The 20,891-nt window shown below is 48.9% G+C and overlaps 1 protein-coding gene across 7 annotated transcripts, besides 4 other annotated features; it reads left to right on the top strand.

The window, feature by feature from the left end:
* Positions 49–278: an enhancer, noted in NCBI's record as "active region_978". NCBI's record gives its function as "activates an Ori minimal core promoter by ATAC-STARR-seq in GM12878 lymphoblastoid cells {active_cell/tissue: GM12878}" and the evidence as "EXISTENCE:reporter gene assay evidence [ECO:0000049][PMID:35858748]".
* Positions 256–19,479, top strand: AKR1A1 (aldo-keto reductase family 1 member A1). Of its 7 annotated transcripts, NM_001202414.2 has the most exons (11): positions 256–306; positions 396–585; positions 1,866–1,993; positions 11,219–11,308; positions 15,999–16,118; positions 16,299–16,450; positions 17,412–17,607; positions 17,915–18,114; positions 18,357–18,429; positions 18,573–18,659; positions 19,321–19,479. In NM_001202414.2, exons 4-11 carry the CDS (start codon positions 11,225–11,227, stop codon positions 19,384–19,386), a joined length of 978 nt encoding a protein of 325 aa, NP_001189343.1. In that variant the 5' UTR covers positions 256–306; positions 396–585; positions 1,866–1,993; positions 11,219–11,224; the 3' UTR covers positions 19,387–19,479. The 7 variants fall into 7 exon arrangements, with proteins under 7 accessions (NP_001189343.1, NP_006057.1, NP_001189342.1 ...); NM_006066.4 differs by having other exon boundaries at positions 256–585; NM_001202413.2 differs by lacking the exon at positions 1,866–1,993.
* Positions 509–728: an enhancer, noted in NCBI's record as "active region_979". NCBI's record gives its function as "activates an Ori minimal core promoter by ATAC-STARR-seq in GM12878 lymphoblastoid cells {active_cell/tissue: GM12878}" and the evidence as "EXISTENCE:reporter gene assay evidence [ECO:0000049][PMID:35858748]".
* Positions 5,481–6,227: an enhancer, noted in NCBI's record as "H3K4me1 hESC enhancer chr1:46021723-46022469 (GRCh37/hg19 assembly coordinates)". NCBI's record gives its function as "activates a minimal SCP1, AML or CMV promoter by ChIP-STARR-seq in naive H9 embryonic stem cells {active_cell/tissue: H9 hESC(naive)}" and the evidence as "EXISTENCE:reporter gene assay evidence [ECO:0000049][PMID:30033119]".
* Positions 6,228–6,973: an enhancer, noted in NCBI's record as "H3K27ac-H3K4me1 hESC enhancer chr1:46022470-46023215 (GRCh37/hg19 assembly coordinates)". NCBI's record gives its function as "activates a minimal SCP1, AML or CMV promoter by ChIP-STARR-seq in primed H9 embryonic stem cells {active_cell/tissue: H9 hESC(primed)}" and the evidence as "EXISTENCE:reporter gene assay evidence [ECO:0000049][PMID:30033119]".
* Positions 19,480–20,891: the final 1,412 nt, after the last annotated feature.

Consider the following 20,891-nt stretch of genomic DNA (forward strand, 5'->3'; position numbering starts at 1 on the left):
TCAGTTTGCTTGAACTAAATGTAACGGGGCCAACTTAGGTGAACTTTGGGAATCCAGCCAACCTGACTTTAGGGAGAGTATGGAGCCACGGATGGCATTGTGAATCCGGAGGGCCGACACCAGAAGAACCTGCAACGTGGCATCTGCTACCTTACTTCCCCCGGAAAAGCGCCTGCGGCGGCGCCTAGGCGCGCGGTGCAATGTGGGCCAGCAAAAGGCGAGGCTGGCCCCGCCCCTTGCACCGCCCACGTGGCCAGCGCCACCTGCCTCATTGTGCCCAGGAGTTCTCCAAACCCGCGCTGCGGAGTGAGTGACCAAGTTCCGGCCAGTTCGACCTCGAGGATCCAGAGGTGGAGACGGTACTACCTCCCAGCTCTGTTTTCCATCCCCTTCAGGTCCTTCCTCGGGAGGCGGCGAAGGCGGTCCACCCTGCGCGTGATCCTTTATGCCCGGCCCCTGCCCCTCCCTCCGGGTGGAACTTCCCCCTCACCGCCAGACTTAAGCTGAGGATCGTTGGATCTCTGGCGGGGTGCAGAACTGAGCCCAGGCCACAGTACCCTATTCACGCTCTGTGCTTGTGCCAAGGTGAGTTTCTCTTGCTGCTGGCCTATCTTTCTCCCGGAGGAGATGGCCTCGATTCTTTACTACTGAAATGTAAGCCCCTGGGGTTGAGTGGAGAGCGCAGAGCACTGGAGGGGACGAGACTTGGTTTCGGATTTGAGCTCTTCTTTTTCTCTGTATGATCTCTTGCTAACTTCCCAGTTTCTCTGAACCTGTTTCCTCAGCAATAAAATGAGGTCCTACATTAGAACTGTAGCAAGAATTGAGATAAAGCTTTGAAGGCGCACAGCGCATACTAGGTGATCTGCAAGTTTTAATTGCCATCTTTTTGTTTGCTCACCTATGTGCTTTTTCCAGCTGCTCCGGCTTTCTTATGCAGGTGCAGGGATAGTTCTCAGAAGTGGGGAGAAGTGGGGATAATTCTCTTACTTAGACACCTGCTTTGGGTCTGAGAAAGTCTGACATGTTATTCTGTTGCCCCAGAACTCTGTTAAAGTAAGACACAGATCTGAACCTTCACTGGATGAGGCTACTGTTAATTAACTCTTCCCCTTCAGATCGTTCATACTCAGGGCTGCAGGCCTGTTACTTTTCCAAGATCTGTTTCCTTATCTTTAATACAGGAGCAATCTCAGTATGATTCTATCTGGTCCACTGGGATTTTTTGCCGAGTATAGTAAAGTGCTTTGATATTCTCCAAGAGGATTCTTTTCAGGTTTTCCAACAGGTAAAGGAAGAAGGTGACAGAGGCAGCGACTTCCTCAAATGTCCTTCCAGCTGGCCAAACTCAACCTGTCAAGATCTCTCCCCCATAAGCTGTGTGTGTGTGGTGTGTGTATTGTGTACATTGTATGTATGTATGTATGTATGTATGTATGTATGTATGTATGGGACAGGTACTCTAGGAGTGAGGGGTTCAGGCAGATGACAGGCTCAGACCTCAAGGAGTAGCCAGGTTTGTGGGGGAAATTTATATATAAACAGAAAAATGTAGTGATGTGCACATGCTATCAGTACATGGAAGTAGCCATCCATTTATTTATTTATTTATTTTCTTTTTAGAGATGGATGGGGGTCTCTCGGTCTTTTGCCCATGCTGGAGTGTAGTGGTGGAATCCTTGCTCAGTGCAGCCTCAAACTTCTGGGCTCAAATAATCCTGCCACCTCAGCCTTTGGACTATAAACTACATGCCACTGTGCCCAGTTAATCTTTAAAATAAAAAAAAAAAAATTCCCCCTAGCAAGCAGACTCAGAAAGAAAAAAACAAATTTTTGTAGAGACAGTGTTTCCTTTTGTTGCCCAGGTTTCAAGTGATCCTCCCGCCTCAGCCTGCCCAGGTGCTGAGATTACATGTATGAGCCACTGCACCTGGAAAGGAGCCAGAAATGTGAAGTGCTAGCTGAAGGATGAGCAGCAGCTAGCCAGGCAAAGGTAGGGTTTGGGGAAGGAAAGTGCACACACCTAGAGTCAGGTAAGTGATGTGACCCTGTTGAGTGTTCAAAGTCTGGAATACAGTCTGACATGAGGAGGTGGTGAAATGAGAAAGATAGAAGCCAGGTTTTGAGAAGCCTGGACTTTATCCTGAATATAGGGGAGAATTGCTGGAAGGGTTTGAGACTGGGAGTCACATGGTTGGATCTGGTGATGGACTGCGGGAAGAGGGACCACTCTGGAAGCCAAGATCTGTGGTTTAAGTAAAGAGTGATGGTCAGCTGGGCACAGTGGCTCATGCCTGTAATCCCAGCACTTTGGGAGGCCAAGGTGGGTGGATCACCTGAGGTCAGGAGTTCGAGACCAGCCTGGCCAACATGGTGAAACCCTCTCCGTACTAAAAATACAAAAAGTAGCTGGGTGTGGTGGCACACACCTATAATCCCAGCTACTGGGGAGGCTGAGGCAGGAGAATCACTTGAACCCGGGAAGCAGAGATTGCAGTGAGCCGAGATCATGCCACTGCATTCCAGCCTGGGCAACAGAGTGAGACTCTGTCTCAAAAAAAAATTTAAAAAGGCTGGGCACAGTGGCTTATGCCTATAATACCAGCACTTCGGGAGGCTGAGGCGGGCAGATCACGAGGTCAAGAGATGGAGACCATCCTGGCCAACATGGTGAAACCCCGTCTCTACTAAAAATACAAAAATTAGCTGGGTGTGGTGGCATGCGCCTGTAGTCCCAACTACTGGGGAGGCTGAGGCAGGAGAATCGGTTGAACCTGGAAGGCGAAGGTTGTAGTGAGCCGAGATCACACCACTGTACTCCAGCCTGGCGACAGAGCGAGACTCTGTCTCAAAAAAAAAAGAGTGGTGGTGGTCAGAGATGGGGCAGTGGCAGTGGAGGTAGATATGGATGGACTAGAGAAAGATTTAGGAATATATATTTTAAAATTCTTTTCACATACATCAAGAAGTACAGGAAGCATTATTGCAATCTTAGGTCTTAGGTTACATATTAGAGCATTCTCTTTTTCTGTAGCTATTAAGTATTAACAAGATTTAAAACCCAGCTAAACTGACAAAATCTGGCCAACATTACATATGTAAGGTGATTTTCCAAGCTGGCTTTTCTAGAAGTATAGGAGAGGCCGGGTGTGGTGGCTCATGCCTGTAATCCCAGCACTTTGGGAGGCTGAGGTGGGCGGATCACGAGGTCAGGAGATCGAGACCATCCTGGTTAACATGGTGAAACCCTGTCTCTACTAAAAAATACAAAAAAATTAGCTGGGCATGGTAGCGGGCACCTGTAGTCCCAGCTACTCGGGAGGCTGAGGCAGGAGAATGGCATGAACCCGGGAGGCGGAGCTTGCAGTGAGCCGAGATCACGCCACTGCCCTCCAGCCTGGGTGACAGAGCGAGACTCCGTCTCAAAAAAAAAAAGAAGTATAGGAGAAAGCCAGGTGTGGTGGCTCACACCTGTAATCCCAGCACTTTAGGAGGCCAAGGTGGGAGGGTCACTTGAGGCTAGAAGTTTGAGGGGGCAACACAGTGAGACCCTATCTCTACAAAAGAAAAATAAGGCCAGGCATAGTGGCTCACACTTATAATCCCAGCACTTTGGGAGGCTGAGGCAGAAGGACCACTTGAGCCCAGGAGTTTCAGACCAGCCTGGGCAACAAGGAGAAACCCTGTCTCTACGAAAAACACAAAAAATGAGCTGGACATCGTGGCCCATGCTTCTAGTCCCAGCTACCTGGGAGGCTGAATGGAAAGGATAGCTTGAGCTTGGGAGGTGGAGTTTGCAGTGAGCTGAGATCACACCACTGCCCTCCAGCCTGGACGTTAGAGCGAGACTCTGTCTCAATAAATAAGTAAATAAATAAGCTGGGTGTGGTGACATGTGCCTGTAGTCCCAGCTACTCGGGATTGCTCCAGTCCAGGAGTTCGAAGCTGCAATGAGCCATGAATGGGCCACTGCACTCCAGCCTGGGCAACAGAGTGAGACCCTGTCTCAAAAAGAAAAGTACAGGAGAAAATACTCTCCTCACCAACTACTTATCAAAACCATAATCTGATAATACTCATAAATGCCTGCAAGGAACTACAAATACTTTCTTTAGATGGCTTTTATTTATTTATTTTTTAGACAGGGTTTCAGTCTGTGGCCCAAGCTGGAGTGCAGTGGTGTGATTTCAGCTCATTGCAACCTCTGCCCCCCAGGCTCAAGGGATCCTCCTGCCTCAGCCCCCTGAGTAGCTAGGACCATAGAGACACATCACTATGCCTGGCTAATTTTCATATTTTTTGTAGAGATTAAGTTTTGCCATGTCCCCCAGGCTGGTCTCGAACTCCTGGACTCAAGCAATCTGCTTGCCTCAGCCTCCCAAAGTGCTGGGATTAACAGGCATGAGCCACCACACGCAACCAGATGTTTTTTTTTAAGGCCCAAATGGATTATACTATCAACATGTTGTCTGGTTTGCTTTAACACTTGTTATCCAGGGCTTTGGTCTTTTGGTGAGATAGAGTACAAAGTCAACACTCTATCCACAAGTTGTGCATCTGCGGATTCAACCTAGAATCAAAAATACTTGGGAACAAAAACCAACTTTAAAAATTCAAATAAAAAAATACAGTATAGGCCGGGCGTGGTAGCTCACGCCTGTAATCCCAGCATTTTGGGAGGCCAAGGTGGGTGGATCACCTGAGGTCGGGAGTTCGAGACCAGCCTGACCAACATGGAGAAACCCTGTCTCTACTAAAAATACAAAATTAGCCAGGCGTGGTGGCGCATGCCTGTAATCCCAGCTACTCGGGAGTCTGAGGCAGGAGAATCACTTGAACCCAGGAGGCGGAGGTTGCGGTGAGCCGACATTGCGCCGTTGCATTCCAGCCTGGGCAACAAGAGTGAAACTGTGTCTAAAAAAAAAAAAAATTATAACACCTATTTACCTAGCATTTAGCATTTATATTGTATTAGGAATTATAAGTATTTAGAGTTGATTAAAATATACAGGAAGATGTACTTAGGTTTATGCAAATACTATGCCATTTTATATAAGGGACTGGAGCATCCCAGGATTTTGGTATCTGAAGGGGTCCTGGAACCAATCTCCTGTGGATACCACGGGATGACTATACAGAAAGAAGAGCATGGGTTAGGCCCTGTGCAAGGTGCTTTAGATATAGTATCTCTTGAAAATATCAGAACTGAGATTCAAACCCAGGTCTGCGTAGCCCCACAGCCTAAACTGTTTCCTCTGTACTCTACTGCTGGATTTGATGAGTACAGTTTTGGACATGGCGAATCTCAGATGCCTATACATACTAGTGGAGAGGTCCAGAGGGCGTTGAATATACAGAAGTGGGGTGAGAAGAATCAAGGCCTAAGGCGATAACCGAAGACATGAACTCAACTAGGGAATGAGAAGATTGAGGAGAAAACCCTGAAGGGACCTTTCCTTTGCCTCCCACACCAGCATATGTGGGAGCCAGAGGAGAGGCCCATGCAGCTAGGAAACACTCATGTAGATATTGTTTCCTTTTTTTCCTGTGTCTTCTACTTCCCTGCAGCCAGGCAGCAACTGTAGAGCCCTTTGAGAAAGAAAGAATTCAACAGAGGGAAGGAACCTAGGCATTGAATTGGAAATAATAAAACCTGATTCCTGATAATACCCTCCTCCCCACTCAACCCACACATCTCTCTTTTACACTTGAATATAACATGAAGGTTTCCGCCGGGCGCGGCGGCTCGCGCCTGTAATCCCAGCACATTGGGCCGAGGTGGGTGGATTGCTTGAGGTCAGGAGTTTGAGACAAGCCTACCCAACATGGTGAAACCCCGTCTCTACTAAAAATACAAAAAATTAGCCAGGTGTGGTGGTGGGCGCCTGTAATCCCAGCTACTCTGGAGTCTGAGGCAAGAGAATCACTTGAACCTGGGAAGTGGAGGTTGCAGTGAGCCAAGATCGTGCCACTGTACTCCAGCCTGGGTGACGGAGCAAGACTCCGTCTTAAAAGAAAAAAAGGATAGCCGGGCGCAGTGGCTCACGCCTGTAATCCCAGCACTTTGGGAGGCCGAGGTGGGTGGATCACAAGGTCAGGAGTTCGAGACCAGCCTGGCCAATACAGTGAAACCCCGTCTGTACTAAAAATACAAAAATTAGCCGAGCGTGGTGGCGGGCGCCTGTAGTCCCAGCTACTCGGGAGGCTGAGGCAGGAGAATCGCTTGAACCTGGGAGGTGGAGGTTGTGGTGAGCCAAGATTGCGTCATTGCCCTCCAGCCTGGGCAAGAAGAGTGAAACTCCATCTCAAACAAAATAAATAAATAAAGTAAAAGATAGGCTGGGCACAGTGACTCATGCCTGTAATCCCAGCACTTTGAAAAGCTGAGACTGGTGGATCACCTGAGGTCAGGAGTTCAAGACCAGCCTGGCCAACATGGTGAAACCCTGTCTCTACTAATAATACAAAAATTAGCTGGGCGTGGTGGCACATGCCTGTAATCCCAGCTACTGGGGAGGCTGAGGCAGGAGAATCGCTTGAACCCAGGAGGTGGAGGTTGCAGTGAGCCAAGATCGCGCCATTGCACCCCAGCCTGGGTGACAAGAATGAAACTCTATCTCAAAAAAATAAAAATAAAAAAGATAACATGAGGGTTTCTGAATGCTGCCAAAGGTCCAGATAGGCAGTTCCTGACAAGCTCAGAGTCTGGAATCTGTTCACGCACAGCTAGGCTGGAAAGCAGTTGTATCAAGCAGAAGATGAGGAAGTCAAGAGCTGGCCGAGGATGATTTTCTGTCCTAGAGAAAAACATCTATGTGGCACCTTCATTCTTCCCTAGGGAGCTCTTGTTCTTTGCAGATCTCCTCCATCTTTCATCCCTGTTCCCCAAGCCTCAGCCTTTTCGGTGTTCAGTTTCACCAGCAAAAGAAAGGGAGAAGCAAGATTCAGGTTTCTTCTTCCTTTTCCCCTTAAGCCAGGGTGTTGTTCAAGCTCTCACCCCAGGTGTAATTTCAGAGCCTTCTCATGCGTGCTGGGTAATCTGCGAGAGGCCAACAGGTCATTGGGCATTAAGCCCAGGAAACCTGCCTTAGACCCTGGTGGCAGCAGGCCACCAGGTTCCTCTTGTCAAGTCCAGACTTGCTTGCTTGATCCCTTGGAAATTTGATTATAAAGAGCATTGCCCTGGTAGCTTGTGGTTTGACACTCAGATTGAAGTTTTGATTTTGTTTTAGCAGAAAAGAGTGGTTTCCAAAACCAACTTAAACTAGACTATAAAATTCTTCCTGGGTCAGAAGTATTAGGAAAGACAGTGTTGGTGTACTGGCTTTACTCACAACTTGTCTTTTTTTTTTTTTTTGAGATGGAGCCTCACTCTGTATCCCAGGCTGGAGTGCAGTGGCATGATCTCAGCTCACTGCAACCTCTGCCTCCTGGGTTCAAGCGATTCTCCTGCCTCAGCCACCCGAGTAGCTGGGATTAAGGTGTGCACCACCATGTCCAGCTAATTTTTGTATTTTTAGTAGAGAGGGGGTTTCGCCTTGTTGGCCAGGCTGGTCTCGAACTCCTGACCTCAAGTCTTAAGTGATCTGCCTGCCTCGGCCTCCCAAAGTGCTGGGGTTACAGACGTTAGCCACTGTACCCAGCCTCAACTTGTCTTATTATTATTATTATTTTTTGAGACAGGGTCTCGCTCTGTTACCCAGACTGGAGTGCAGTGGCACTATATCAGCTCACTGCAACCTCCGCCTCCCGGGTTCAGGTGATTCTCATGTCTTGGCCTCCCAAGTAGCTGAGATTACAGGCATGTGCCACCACGCCCAGCTAATTTTTTTTTTTTTTTTTTTTTGAGATGGAGTCTTGCTCTGTCACCCAAGCCGGAGTGCAGTGGCTCAATCTCGGCTCACTGCAACCTCCACCTCCCGAGTTCAAGCGATTCCTCCTGTCTCAGCCTTCTGAGTATCTGGGACCACAGGCATGTGCCACCATGCCCGGCTAATTTTTGTATTTTTAGGAGAGACGGGGTTTCACCATGTTGGTCAGGCTGGTCTCGAACTCCTGACCTCGTGATCTGCCCTCCTCGGCCTCCCAAAGTGCTGGGATTACAGGTGTAAGCCACCAAACCCGGCCTAATTTTTGTATTTTCAGTAAAGATGGGGTTTCGCCATGTTGGCCAGGCTGGTAATACCCTGACCTCAGGTGATCCGTCGCATCGGCCTTCCAGAGTGCTAGGATTACAGGTGTGAGCCACCACTCCTGGCCACAGCTTGTCTTATTACTTGCTCTATCCTACATCCTTTTAGAACCTGGAAACTAAGATTATATTTATAAAGATATTGTTGGCAATTAAATCAATCCCAAGAGTGATATTCATGGTACTGATGAGATCAAGGGAAAAGGTTGTATCTACCTCATTGGCTCTTGGTGTGAACATTCTCTCTCCTTTTCTTTCACTTGAATAGCTCCTGTTCAGTTATTCTTTAGGACTTGACTCAGGAAGAGATTCCTCCAAGAAGCCATCCTAGCAAGGTTACCCTTTTCTTGCCACCCTTGTGCAGCTCTTGTGCAGAATTTGATCAAAGCTCTTATCACAGTGTACTGATATCACCTGTTCCCATTACAAGACCATAAACTGAAGGAAGGCAGTTTAAATATTTAAATACATTTTTCTCTTGGGTTTAGCACAAGAGTTGGAACATTCAATTTACTGACAAAACGAGTATTCTTGGGCCATTTGGTGACCTCTTATTTGCATAGCTTTCCAGAGGGGGAGGCTCCAGTTACCTGCTTTGTTTGGTTGGAAATTTACTTGTATCTGTAATTAGTTACTTTTCTGCTGCACTGAAGTCATGTGTATAGTTTCCTTTCCTGGAAAGAGTTCTTCCCCTTAACTCTTGGGAATTCTTAAAAACCAGTGTCAATATTTCTTTGTCCTTGCCCTTTTCTGTAGTACATCATACTTGTGTCTACCATGAGTATCTTTTTATAGGTCTGTGTTTATTTGCCTTTTTTCCATTAGCTCCTCCTTAGATCCTTGGTTTTGCCACTTCTTTTCTCTTTTCTTTTCTTTTTTTTTTTTTTTTTTTTTTTTTTTGAGACGGAGTCTCCCTCTGTCACCCAGGCTGGAGTGCAGTGGCATGATCTCAGCTCACTGCAACCTCCGCCTCCCGGGTTCAAGCAATTCTCCTGCCTCAGCCTCCCAAGTAAGTAGCTGGGATTATAGGCACCCGCCACCATGCCCGGCTAATTTTTCTATTTTTAGTAGAGACGGGGTTTCGCTATGTTGACCAGGGCTGGTCTCGATCTCTTGACCTTGTGATCCGCCCACCTCAACCTCCCAAAGTGCTGGGATTACAGGCGTGAGCCACTGTGCCCAGCCAGTTTTGCCACTTCTTAGCTGTTGATTTGGAGCAAATAACTTCACTTTTTTTTTTTTTTGAGATGGAGTCTGGCTGTGTCGCCCAGGCTGGAGTGCAGTGGCGCAATCTTGGCTCACTGCAACCTCCGCCTCCCGGGTTCAAACGATTCTCCCGCCTCAGCCTCCATAGCTGGGACTACAGGTGCATGCCACCACGCCTAGCTAATTTTTGTATTTTTTGGTAGAAATGGGGTTTCACTCTGTTGGCCAGGCTGGTCTCTAACTTTTGACCTCAAGTGATTTGCCTGCCTTGGCCTTCCTATGTGCTTGTATTACAGGTGTGAGGCACAGCGCCCGGTCTAACTTCACTTCTTTGAGCCTATTTTCTCAACTAAAAAATTAAAGATCTGGATATGGTGGCTCATACCTGTAATCCCAGCAACTCAGGGTGCTGAAGTGGCTGGATAGCTTGAGGTCAGAAGTTCAAGACCAGCCTGGGCAACCTAGCCAGAACCATCTCTAAAAAAGTTTAAAAACATCCAGGTGTGCTGGCACAGGCCTGTAGTCCCAGCTACTTGGAAGGGTGAGGCAGGAATATCACTTGAGCTTAGGAGTTCAAGGCTGCAGTGAGCCATGATCACACCACTGTTCTCCAACCTAGGAGACAGAACCAGACCCTGAGTCTAAAAAAGAGTTCCTTTTTTAGGACTCCCTTTACCTCCCTTGCAGGAGCCCACTCGGGCCTACCAGCATGGCTGACCAGACCTCTGTGAAAGGTACTTGGAGAATCTCTGCAGTTCTTTTTTTTTTTTTTTTTTTTGAGACAAAGTCTCGCTCTGTTGCCCAGGCTGGAGTGCAGTGGTGCAATCTAAGCTCACTGCAACCTCCGCCTCCTGGGTTCAAGTGATTCTCCTGCCTCAGCCTCCCAGGTAGCTGGGACTACAGGCACCCGCCACCACGCCTGGCTAATTTTTTGTATTTTTAGTAGAGATGGTCTTTCACTGAGTTAGCCAGGATGGTCTCGATCTCCTGACCTCGTGATCCACCCGCCTCGGCCTCCCAAAGTGCTGGGATTACAGGCGTGAGCCACCGTGCCTGGCCGAGAATCTCTGTAGTTCTGACAACCTCCTGGGAACATTTATTTCATTCTCAGAGAAGTGGCCCCTTCCTGGGCCTATTCAGTTACCTGGTCTCTCTCTCATAATGGCCTTTGCCTGCCTTACACTGGCTTGAGACCTTATTTAGTCAAGACTGGGTGCTTCTGTGTGGCCACCCTGCTTTTGTTTTTAGATAGTGCAGTTCTTTAACAGAGATCTTTAGCCTGCCACAGAGAAGGGCAGCCAGGCTGGTGGTCTGGTTAGTGTTTGTCCAGGAGCTACTGGCCATGGTTGGTTTTGGGCACCCTGTCTCTGCTGCCTTTGCTCACAGGCACATATATAACCACGTGTTTGTCCTACACATCTGTCCCCTCTTCCCGGCCCATGCTTTGTAGTAGTGAGACAGAGTCTTACTCTGTCACCCAGGCTGGAGTGCAGTGGCGCAATCTCAGCTAACTGCAACCTCCACCTCCCAGGTTCAAGTGATTCTTGTGCCTCAGCCCCCCGAGCAGCTGGGACTACAGGTGCGCGCCACCATGCCTAGATAATTTTTGTATTTTTAGTAGAGATGGGGTTTTACCATGTTGACCCAACTGGTCTTGAACTCTTGACCTCAGGTGATCTGCCCGCCTCAGCCTCCCAAAGTGCTGGGATTACAGGTGTGAGCCACTGCACTTGGCGCTTTGCAGTATTCTTGACAGTGGAAATCTGAGACCTGAACAACAGCACTAACCCCAACACCATTCTCTTCCCATCTGTGTTTCAGGGGGCAATGGCGGCTTCCTGTGTTCTACTGCACACTGGGCAGAAGATGCCTCTGATTGGTCTGGGTACCTGGAAGAGTGAGCCTGGTCAGGTGAGGGATGGGGGAAGAAAAAAGAAACTTGTTGAGCCTCTGCCTGCATTTTCCTAGCAGCCCCACCCCCATACTCCCCTTCCAGCGGGGATGAGCCAGTGGGAAGAGATAAGAGAAGACACCAATTATACATCCTGGGCTTCCCCAGCTGACTCAGAGAGTGGGCTGAGGGGCCCAGCAGGGCTGGGGGCATAGGAAGGACATCTTTCTCTAACTGGATCTGCACTGAGTGCTGTGGCAAACATGGGGCCCCTCTGTGCCCATCCCTATGCTATGACCCCTAATATGGCAGTTATCACCCTGTGCTGTGATCATGTCTCCTCTCCCACACTGGGTTCTTTGAGGGCTCAGCCTCTCCCTACTGCTCAGTCCAGAATTAGGCACATAGCAGGTGTCAAGGTTTGAAGAATAACTAGGTGAATTGTATATTGTATAGACCAAAGGTCAGCAAATTTTTTTTTTTTTTTTTTTTTTTTTACTCGAGACAGGGTCTCGCTCTGTTGCCCAGGCTGGAGTGCAGTGGCACAATCTTGGCTCACGGCAGCCTTGACCTCCTGGGCTCAAGTGACCCTCCCACCTCAGCCTCCTGAGTAGCTGGGACCACAGGCACACACTAACACACGGGCCCAGCAAACTTTTTTTTTTTTTTGAAACCGAGTCTCACTCTGTTCCCCAGGCTGGAGTGCAGTGGCGTGATCTTGGCTCACTGCAACCTCTGCCTCATGGGTTCAAGTGATTCTCCTGCCTCAGCCTCCCGAGTAGCTGGGGCTACAGGCATGAGCCACCACACTTGGCTAATTTTTGTATTTTTAGTAGAGACAGGGTTTTACCATGTTGGCAAGGCTGGTCTTGAACTCCTGACCTCAGGAGATCCACCTGCCTTGGCCTCCCAAAGTGCTGGGATTACAGATGTGAGCCACCTTGCCCGGCCACAAACTATTTTTTAAAGAACAAGATAGGGCCAAGTGTGGTGGCTCATACCTGTAATCCCAGCACTTTGGGACGCCAAGGCAGGAAGATTGCTTGAGCCCAGGAATTTGAGACCAGACTGGGCAACACAGTGAGACCCCCGTCTCTACAAAAAATTAAAAAAATTCGAATGCGCCTGTGGTCCCAGCTACTTGAGAGACTGAGTTAGGGGGATTGCTGGAGCCCTGGAAGTCGAGGCTGCAGTGACCTATGATCATGCCACTGCACTCCAGCCTGGACAGAGCGAGACCATCTTAAAAAAAAAAAAGGTAGGCTGGACACTGTGGCTCACGCCTATAATCCCAGCACTTTGGGAGGCCAAGGCAGGTGGATCACAAGGTCAGGAGTTCGAGACCAGCTTGGCCAACGTGGTGAAACCCCGTCTCTACTAAAAATACAAAAATTAGCCAGGCGTGGTGGCACACACCTGTAATCCCAGCTACTTGGGAGGCTGAGGCATTAGAATTGCTTGAACCTGGGAGGCAGAGGTTGCAGTGAGCCAAAATTACGCCACTGCACTCCAGCCTAGGCAACAGAGCAAGACTCCGTCTAGGGGGAAAAATTAAGGAAAAAAAGTTAAAAAACAATTAGATTCTATTGGACAAGTTACAGATGGAGGTGATTATACACTCATGTGACCTTTTAATATGTAACCACTTAAGCTGGGTGTGGTGGCTCATGCCTGTAATCCCAGCACTTTGGGAGGCTGAGGCAGGCGGATCACCTGAGGTTGGGAGTTCGAGACCAGCCTGACCAACACGGAGAAACCTCATCTCTACTAAAAATGCAAAATTAGCCAGGCGTGGTGGTGCATGCCTGTAATCCCAGCTACTCAGGAGTCTGAGGCAGGAGAATCACTTGAATCCGGGAGGCGGAGGTTGCAGTGAGCCGAGATCGTGCCATTGCACTCCAGCCTGGGCAACAAGAGCAAAACTGCGTCCCAAGAAAAATAATAATAAAATAAATAAGTAACCACTTAAAAATATAAATGTAGTTCTTAACTCAAGAACTGTTAAAGTTGATAATTGACTGACCCCTGGTGTAGACCATCCCAGCTGAGGGGAGTCTGGGAATATGGACCTGCTCTCTCAGGGTGGACGTAGCTATGAGATTTGGCTCCTGCCTGGAATGGGGCATTTCCCCAGGGCTTCTTCCTTCTTCCTTGGAAATCTTGAGTCAGAGTGAAGAGAAGTTTGGGGATTAAGTTTCAGAGAAGCCCCAGCAGAGAGAACAGATTCTTCTATCTGGGATTTAGACTGATGTTTGTGGTGTGCTTGGATGACCTGTGTCTCTTTTCCCTTTTGCTTTCTTTCCTATAGCTGCCAAGGAGCCTGGAGCCAGGGTCCCTGTGCTTTAGGCAGGCACTTCTCACAGCCTCGGAGAAGTCCAGGAGCTAGGTCAAGGCAGAGGGTTGGGGGCCACAGACAAGGCCAAGGCGGGGCATGGAACAGCAGGGGTCAGATGTTAGGGGAAGTACGTCGGCACCCGGGTGGGGATCTTGAATACTATGTCAGGCACCCACAACAAGAGCTTTGGGTGCTTTGTGTCTAGGGCCGGGTACCCTTGTTTCTGCTGCTGATGCCGTGTTTCCAGTCTGGATTTTAGCAAAATTAACTGACCCATCCTTCTATCTGATGCCTGTTTTCTTCTCTCTCATTAGGGAGTTCTGGGTCCAGCTTTTAGCCCACTTATCTGCCTCCAGCTTTCAGCCTACTTATCTGCCTTCCTTAATCTTTTCCCCCTTCTAACCTCTTTTGCTGGCCTGTGCTCCCAGAGTTCCCAGAGTCTGTCTACACAACTCCCTGTATGTCCTTGGCCTAGGAATTTTTTCCTGTGTTTCTCTAACCAGCTCCTTAGAACCTGGAACTTGTTTCCATGGTCTATACTTCTTTTCTCTATTTATCCATCTGTCTTCTGATTGAAAAAAAAAATTATTTATTTTTGAAAATTTTTAAATTTTTATTTATTTATTTATTTATTTAATTTTATTTTTGAGATGGAGTCTTGCTCTGTCGCCCAGGCTGGAGTGCAGTGGCGCAATCTCGCCTCACTGCAAGCTCCGCCTCCTAGGTTCACACCATTCTCCTGCCTCAGCCTCCTGAGTAGCTGGGACTACAGGCACCCCCTACCACGCCCAGCTAATTTTTTGTATTTTTAGTAGAGACGGTGTTTCACCGTGTTAGCCAGGATGGTCTCGATCTCCTGACCTCATGATCCACCCACCTCAGCCTCCCAAAGTGCTGGGACTACAGGCGTGAGCCACCACACCCAGCCATTTTTTTTTTTTTTTTTTTTTTTTTGAGAAGGAGTTTCACTCTTGTTGCCCAGGCTGGAGTGCAATGGCATGATCTTGGCTCACTGTAACCTCCACCTCCCAGGTTCAAGCGATTCTCCTGCCTCAGCCTCCCAAGTACCCGGGATTATAGGCATGCACCACCACGCCCAGCTAATTTTGTATTTTTAGTAGAGACGGGGTTTCTCCGTGTTGGTTAGGCTGGTCTCAAACTCCCGACCTCAGGTGATCCACCCACCTCGGCCTCCCAAAGTGCTGGGATTACAGGTGTGAGCCACCGCGCCTGGCTTTTATTTAAAAAAAAAAATTTGTTTTCAATTTTTTGTTGTTATTTTTTTTGTGTTTTTTTGAGACGGAGTCTCACTCTGTCTCGCCCAGGATGAAGTGCAGTGGCATGATCTCAGCTCACTGCAGCCTCCCCCGCCTGGGTTCAAGCGATTCTCCTATCTCAGCCTCCTGAGTAGCTGGGACTACAGGCATATGCCACCATGCACAGCTAATTTTTGTATTTTTAGTAGAGAAAAGAATTTCACCATGTTGGCCAGGCTGGTCTCAAACCCCTGACCTCAGGTGATTCACCTGCCTCTTCTTCCCAAAGTGCTGGGATTATAGGCGTGAGCCACCACGCCTGGCCTTAATTTTTTTTTTTTTTTTAAAGAGGTGGGGGTCTCACTATGTTGACTAGGCTGGTCTTGAACTTCTGCCTTCAAGCAATGCTCCCATGTCAGCCTCCCAGAGTCCTAGGATTACAGGCGTGAGCCACTGTGCTCAGCCTGAAAAAATATTTACTGAAGCCCTCTTTATGGTAGATGCCGGGAAAATATTGTTAGTTTTTGCTAGACCTTGCTGAGATGGCTTGGGTAGGAAGGCATCTTAGAGACTGGTTGGGGTGGGAGCAGAGCAAAGGGTTTGGAGCCTCTGAAGAGGCTTCTGGTCCCTTAGACTGAAACCATCTTCCATCTTTTTTTTTTTCTTTCTTTGTTTTGAGATGGAGTTTCGCTCTTGTTGCCGAGGCTGAAGTGCAGTGGCACAATCTCAGCTCACTGCAACCTCTGCCTCCTGGGTTCAAGTGATTCTCCTGCCTCAGCCTCCTGAGTAGCTGGGATTACAGGCACCTGCCACCACACCTGGCTAATTTTGTATTTTTAGCAGAGATGGGGTTTCACCATGTTGGCCAGGCTGACCTCCAGCTGGCCAGGCTGGTCTCGAACTCCTGACCTCAGGGGATCTGCCCACCTCAGCCTCCCAAAGTGCTGGGATTACAGGCGTGAGCCACCGCGCCCAGTTCATCTTCCATCTTTTCACCTCCACTGCATAGATGTGCCTGTTATATTTCTGAGCCCCCTTCCCCCAGCATTGACCTTGGGGTGGTGACAGTAGAAGGCTGAAACCAACATAGCTGAAACCTCTGCTTCTCTCACCTGGCAGGTAAAAGCAGCTGTTAAGTATGCCCTTAGCGTAGGCTACCGCCACATTGATTGTGCTGCTATCTACGGCAATGAGCCTGAGATTGGGGAGGCCCTGAAGGAGGACGTGGGACCAGGCAAGGTAAGGACTGGGGTTGTAAATAGAGGTGGGATAAGAGAACTTAGAAGCTGAAGCTAGGGCTGGGGCCCAGCTGGAGGGAATCTGGCATCAGCTTCCTTCCAGTTCCTCTCCCAGAGTTGAGGGTGGGTGAGACCACGTGCTCATGGCTCTTCTCACTGTGGGCCCTGCCCCCTGCACTAGGCGGTGCCTCGGGAGGAGCTGTTTGTGACATCCAAGCTGTGGAACACCAAGCACCACCCCGAGGATGTGGAGCCTGCCCTCCGGAAGACTCTGGCTGACCTCCAGCTGGAGTATCTGGACCTGTACCTGATGCACTGGCCTTATGCCTTTGAGTGAGCCTTGCCAGAGCCTCATCTGGGGAATCAGGGGGTTGAGCAGGATGGTGTTAGTAACTTATTGTAAGTCACAGCAGCAGAGCAGGATAGGAACACTCATTTGCATGCCAAGCTGAGGAGCTTGACATGGGATCTTAGCCTCTTCTGCTACAGCAGCTTAGCTGTAGCTACAGGAGTTTAACTCTGGAAAAAGGAAGGCAGTCTCACATGGTGTGTACCCCAGGGTATGCACCTGTAACCCTCCTGCTCCCTTTATTCATTTAGAAAAGGTGCTGACTTTTCTGTTGAGCACCTGGGGTTACAGTAATAAGTAAGTCTCAGCAGAAGATGTGAGAAGAGCTCACCATTAGTGCCGTGCCCTGTGCTGGAAGAAGGGTGGATAACTCCCTGAGGATGAGTTAAGGAAGACTTCCTAGGGGAGAGGAGATATCTACGTCTAGGAAGAGGAGGGGGCATAGGCATTCCATGTAAACTTAACACCTGGGTTACGATCTGGAAGGATGAAAAAGCATGGCTTTTTTTGGCCAGGCGCGGTGGCTCACGCCTGTAATCCCAGCACTTTGGGAGGCTAAGGCGGGCGGATCACGAGGTCAGGAGATCGAGATCATCCTGGCTAACACGGTGAAACCCCGTCTCTACTAAAAATACAAAAAATTAGCTGCGCGTGGTGGTGAGCGCCTGTAGTCCCAGCTACTGGGGAGGCTGAGGCAGGAGAATGGCGTGAACCCAGGAGGTGGAGCTTGCAGTGAGCTGAGATAGTGCCACTGCACTCCAGCCTGGGCGGTAAAGCGAGACTCCATCTCAAAAAAAAAAAAAAAGAAAAAGCATGGCTTTTTAAAAATTCTTGGCCCTTTGTCCTCTCTGGGATTGGAGTTTGGGACATAGAGTGGCTGGATGGGCAGGTAGGGTAGAAGCCTGGCATTTGTGTCCACACTTGGTGGGGCTGTCTCTCACTCAGGCGGGGAGACAACCCCTTCCCCAAGAATGCTGATGGGACTATATGCTACGACTCCACCCACTACAAGGAGACTTGGAAGGCTCTGGAGGCACTGGTGGCTAAGGGGCTGGTGCAGGCGCTGGGCCTGTCCAACTTCAACAGTCGGCAGATTGATGACATACTCAGTGTGGCCTCCGTGCGTCCAGCTGTCTTGCAGGTAAGGACAGCAAGCAGATGAGTGGTTTAGGGGTTGTCTGCTCAAGAGCATGAGGGAGCAGACGATGGATCTGCTTAAGGGAGATAGCTAGCAAGTTGTCAGAGTGTTGGTGCAGAAGTCCTCTGCATAAAGGTGGGCATTGAAGCAGTGGGAGAGAATGAAATTGCCGATGGGAAATGGTGAGAAAAGCAGGCTGAAGGGGAGTGGAGGAGTCAGCAATAGGGGGTGGTCCAGACATGCATGTCTGGGATGGGCCAAGCAAGCTGGGTGTCACCACTTCATGGTGATGGGTTATTCTTTGGCTCAGGTGGAATGCCACCCATACTTGGCTCAAAATGAGCTAATTGCCCACTGCCAAGCACGTGGCCTGGAGGTAACTGCTTATAGCCCTTTGGGCTCCTCTGATCGTGCATGGCGTGATCCTGATGAGCCTGTCCTGCTGGAGGAACCAGTAGTCCTGGCATTGGCTGAAAAGTATGGCCGATCTCCAGCTCAGATCTTGCTCAGGTATGGGGCAGTCTTAGGGAGAGGGCCCTGGGTTGGGAGGCAAGGGTTAAGGGATTTCTTATTTCAGTGTCTGGGTGAGGCTGAGGATCTTGCCTTGTGATCTGGAGGGAGGCCACTGTAGGCATATTTCCCATTTCAGCAGGGCTCAGGTGCTCCAGGAGCTTAGGGAAGCTGCATGGGGAACAAAATAGTGCTTATGAATACTGACCCCTTTTCCTCATCTGTCTAATCCCCCAACTTAGGTGGCAGGTCCAGCGGAAAGTGATCTGCATCCCCAAAAGTATCACTCCTTCTCGAATCCTTCAGAACATCAAGGTACTTGGTAATGGGTTCTATCTTCTTTAGCTCTTTGGGACATTTTCTTGGCCCTGACTCTACCTGGCTAAAAAGGCAGTGTTGTGGAACCCCAGCTTCTGCTCACAAAGCTGGCTTTCTTGAACCCCACTCTCCATCCTCAGGTGTTTGACTTCACCTTTAGCCCAGAAGAGATGAAGCAGCTAAATGCCCTGAACAAAAATTGGAGATATATTGTGCCTATGCTTACGGTGAGGATGTATCAGCCTCCTAGACTTGGGGAATGTGAGATTTGGGGTGGGATTCTGGCCCAGGTGTGACCTAAGGCTTGCTGGTTGTGAGAAGGACACAATGTTGTGGGTGGGATTGCTATGCTGGACATAGTGCCCTCATTTCTCTTTATTGAGCTCAGGGAAGTAGTATGGCTCAGGGATAAGGCATATAACCTGTGAGTCCCAGTCCTGCTTCTTGATATCTTGTAACCTAGAGCAAGTTATTAAACTTCTCCAAGCCTCAGCTTCCTATGTGTAAAATGAGCCCAGTTCCTGACATGTAGTAGATTCTCAGTAAATGATATGAGGAGAGCCCAGAAGGCGTTGTTGACCTCACTCGAGGGATTGGGGTTGGGAGGGAAGTCGGCTGTACTTAGGGAAATAAATGGTTCCTGGCCTCTTGATCTCAGTTCAGACTGCAAACTCTTAGGGGCAGGGGTAGCTACATATCAGGCTATGGGTTTGGTGCTAGAATGGTGTTGATACTGTGGTGTTCTCTGAGGATGGGGATCCCAGCCAATGCCATCTGGCATAGTGCTGTACACAGGTGAGTTTGTTTAGGAAGATTTGGGGAAGATGCCTGGAGTCTTTGGAATGGCAACTCCTGCTGATGGAGTAATCTATCTGTCTCTCTTTCCAGGTGGATGGGAAGAGAGTCCCAAGGGATGCAGGGCATCCTCTGTACCCCTTTAATGACCCGTACTGAGACCACAGCTTCTTGGCCTCCCTTCCAGCTCTGCAGCTAATGAGGTCCTGCCACAACGGAAAGAGGGAGTTAATAAAGCCATTGGAGCATCCATATTGCTTGCTTGTCTTATTTGCCTGGTCAGGCCTGAGATGGAGGCTGTTTCCCTCAGGGATGACAGACCTCGGGCTGCTGGATGTGACCTGCCCTTGAAGCCCAAATATTCATATCCTGGTTCTGGAGGAACCTGTGAGGAGGCTGAGTAATTCTGTATCCTTGCATTAGGCACGTTGGGAAGTAGCGCCATCTACTGGCACATCTTAAGCACTGCATGCTTCCCTGGAGTCTTCTCAAGAATGCCTCAAATTGGCCACCTCAGGAGTGAGCGATCAGGGCAATGATTGTCCGTTGGTTTCAAGGCAGTGCTGGACCTGGGCCTTAAGTTTCCATCCCCCTGTCCTGACCAGTGCCTAGGTTTAGTAATTTGAAGAGTCCAAGCGACTTACATTAAGAAGTTAGGGAATCCTAGCTTGCAAAATCACAAAAGGTGGGGACAGGGGCTTTCTCCATCAGACACTATAGTCAGTGTGCATAGGTGACCTGCAGGAGGCAACAGTCCTGCCCAGACCTTGTCACTCGGCCCCTAAGGCCCTATCTTATGCACTTTTTATTGGTGGGCACCAGAGACCACTGATAAACAGGTTTTAGGAAGGTTTATGGCAAATCTCTCTAACCTCCAGTCACACGAAACTCTTTACTTTCCCAAACCATTGCTCTTTGTTCAAGAAGTATTTATTGGGTACTTATGGGTTAGGCATGATGCTAAGCCCTGGGGATATAGCTATAACCAAGACACATAAGTCCCTACAGCCTACTTGAGGAGACAGACTAAGTAATTGCATAATTAGTTTAATTACAGTCGGAAGAAGTGTTATGAGAAGTGCAGGGCGAGTAGCCTACTTATTTAATCAGCTAAGATCTGAAAGATGAATAGGGATTAATTAGTTAAAGGAGGTAAGAGTGGGAACAGCATTCCATACAAATTGGACAGCTTAGGGAAAAGTCTTGAAACTGGAAGACGCTGCTGGAAAAGCCTAAAGAAGACTTGTAGGACAGCAACTAAAAGTAAGGGGGACCTGGTGGTAGAGGCGATGGCATAAAACAATGCTGGCATTGGTAGGAACTGATGATTGGAAGGCCTAAAAGACTGTTGAGATTTCTATTATTTATTTTTTGAATTGAGGTCTCTGTCACCGAGGCTGTAGTATACAAAAATTTTAAATTTTTATAGAGATTAGGTCTCCTTATGTTGCCCAGGCTGTTTTTTGTTTGTTTGTTTTGTGATGGAGTCTTGCTCTGTCACCCAGGCTGGAGTGCAGTGGCGCCATCTCGGCTCACTGCAACCTCCGCCTCCTTGGTTCAAGCGATTCTCCTGCCTCAGCCTCCTGAGTAGCTGGGATTACAAGTCCCCGCCATGACACCTGGCTAATTTTTTGTATTTTTGGTAGGGATGGGGTTTCCCCGTG

This window comes from Homo sapiens, chromosome 1 (assembly GCF_000001405.40).
Source record: "Homo sapiens chromosome 1, GRCh38.p14 Primary Assembly".
NCBI classification, from domain to species: domain Eukaryota; kingdom Metazoa; phylum Chordata; class Mammalia; order Primates; family Hominidae; genus Homo; species Homo sapiens.

Bases quoted from the DNA above. Each gene is read 5' to 3' on its own strand.
- AKR1A1 (NM_006066.4), top strand. From the start codon at position 11,225: ATGGCGGCTTCCTGTGTTCTACTGCACACTGGGCAGAAGATGCCTCTG. The intron at 16,119-16,298 runs GTAAGGACTGGG...CCCCTGCACTAG, and splicing joins AGGACGTGGGACCAGGCAAG to GCGGTGCCTCGGGAGGAGCT. The intron at 18,115-18,356 runs GTATGGGGCAGT...CCCCCAACTTAG, and splicing joins CCAGCTCAGATCTTGCTCAG to GTGGCAGGTCCAGCGGAAAG.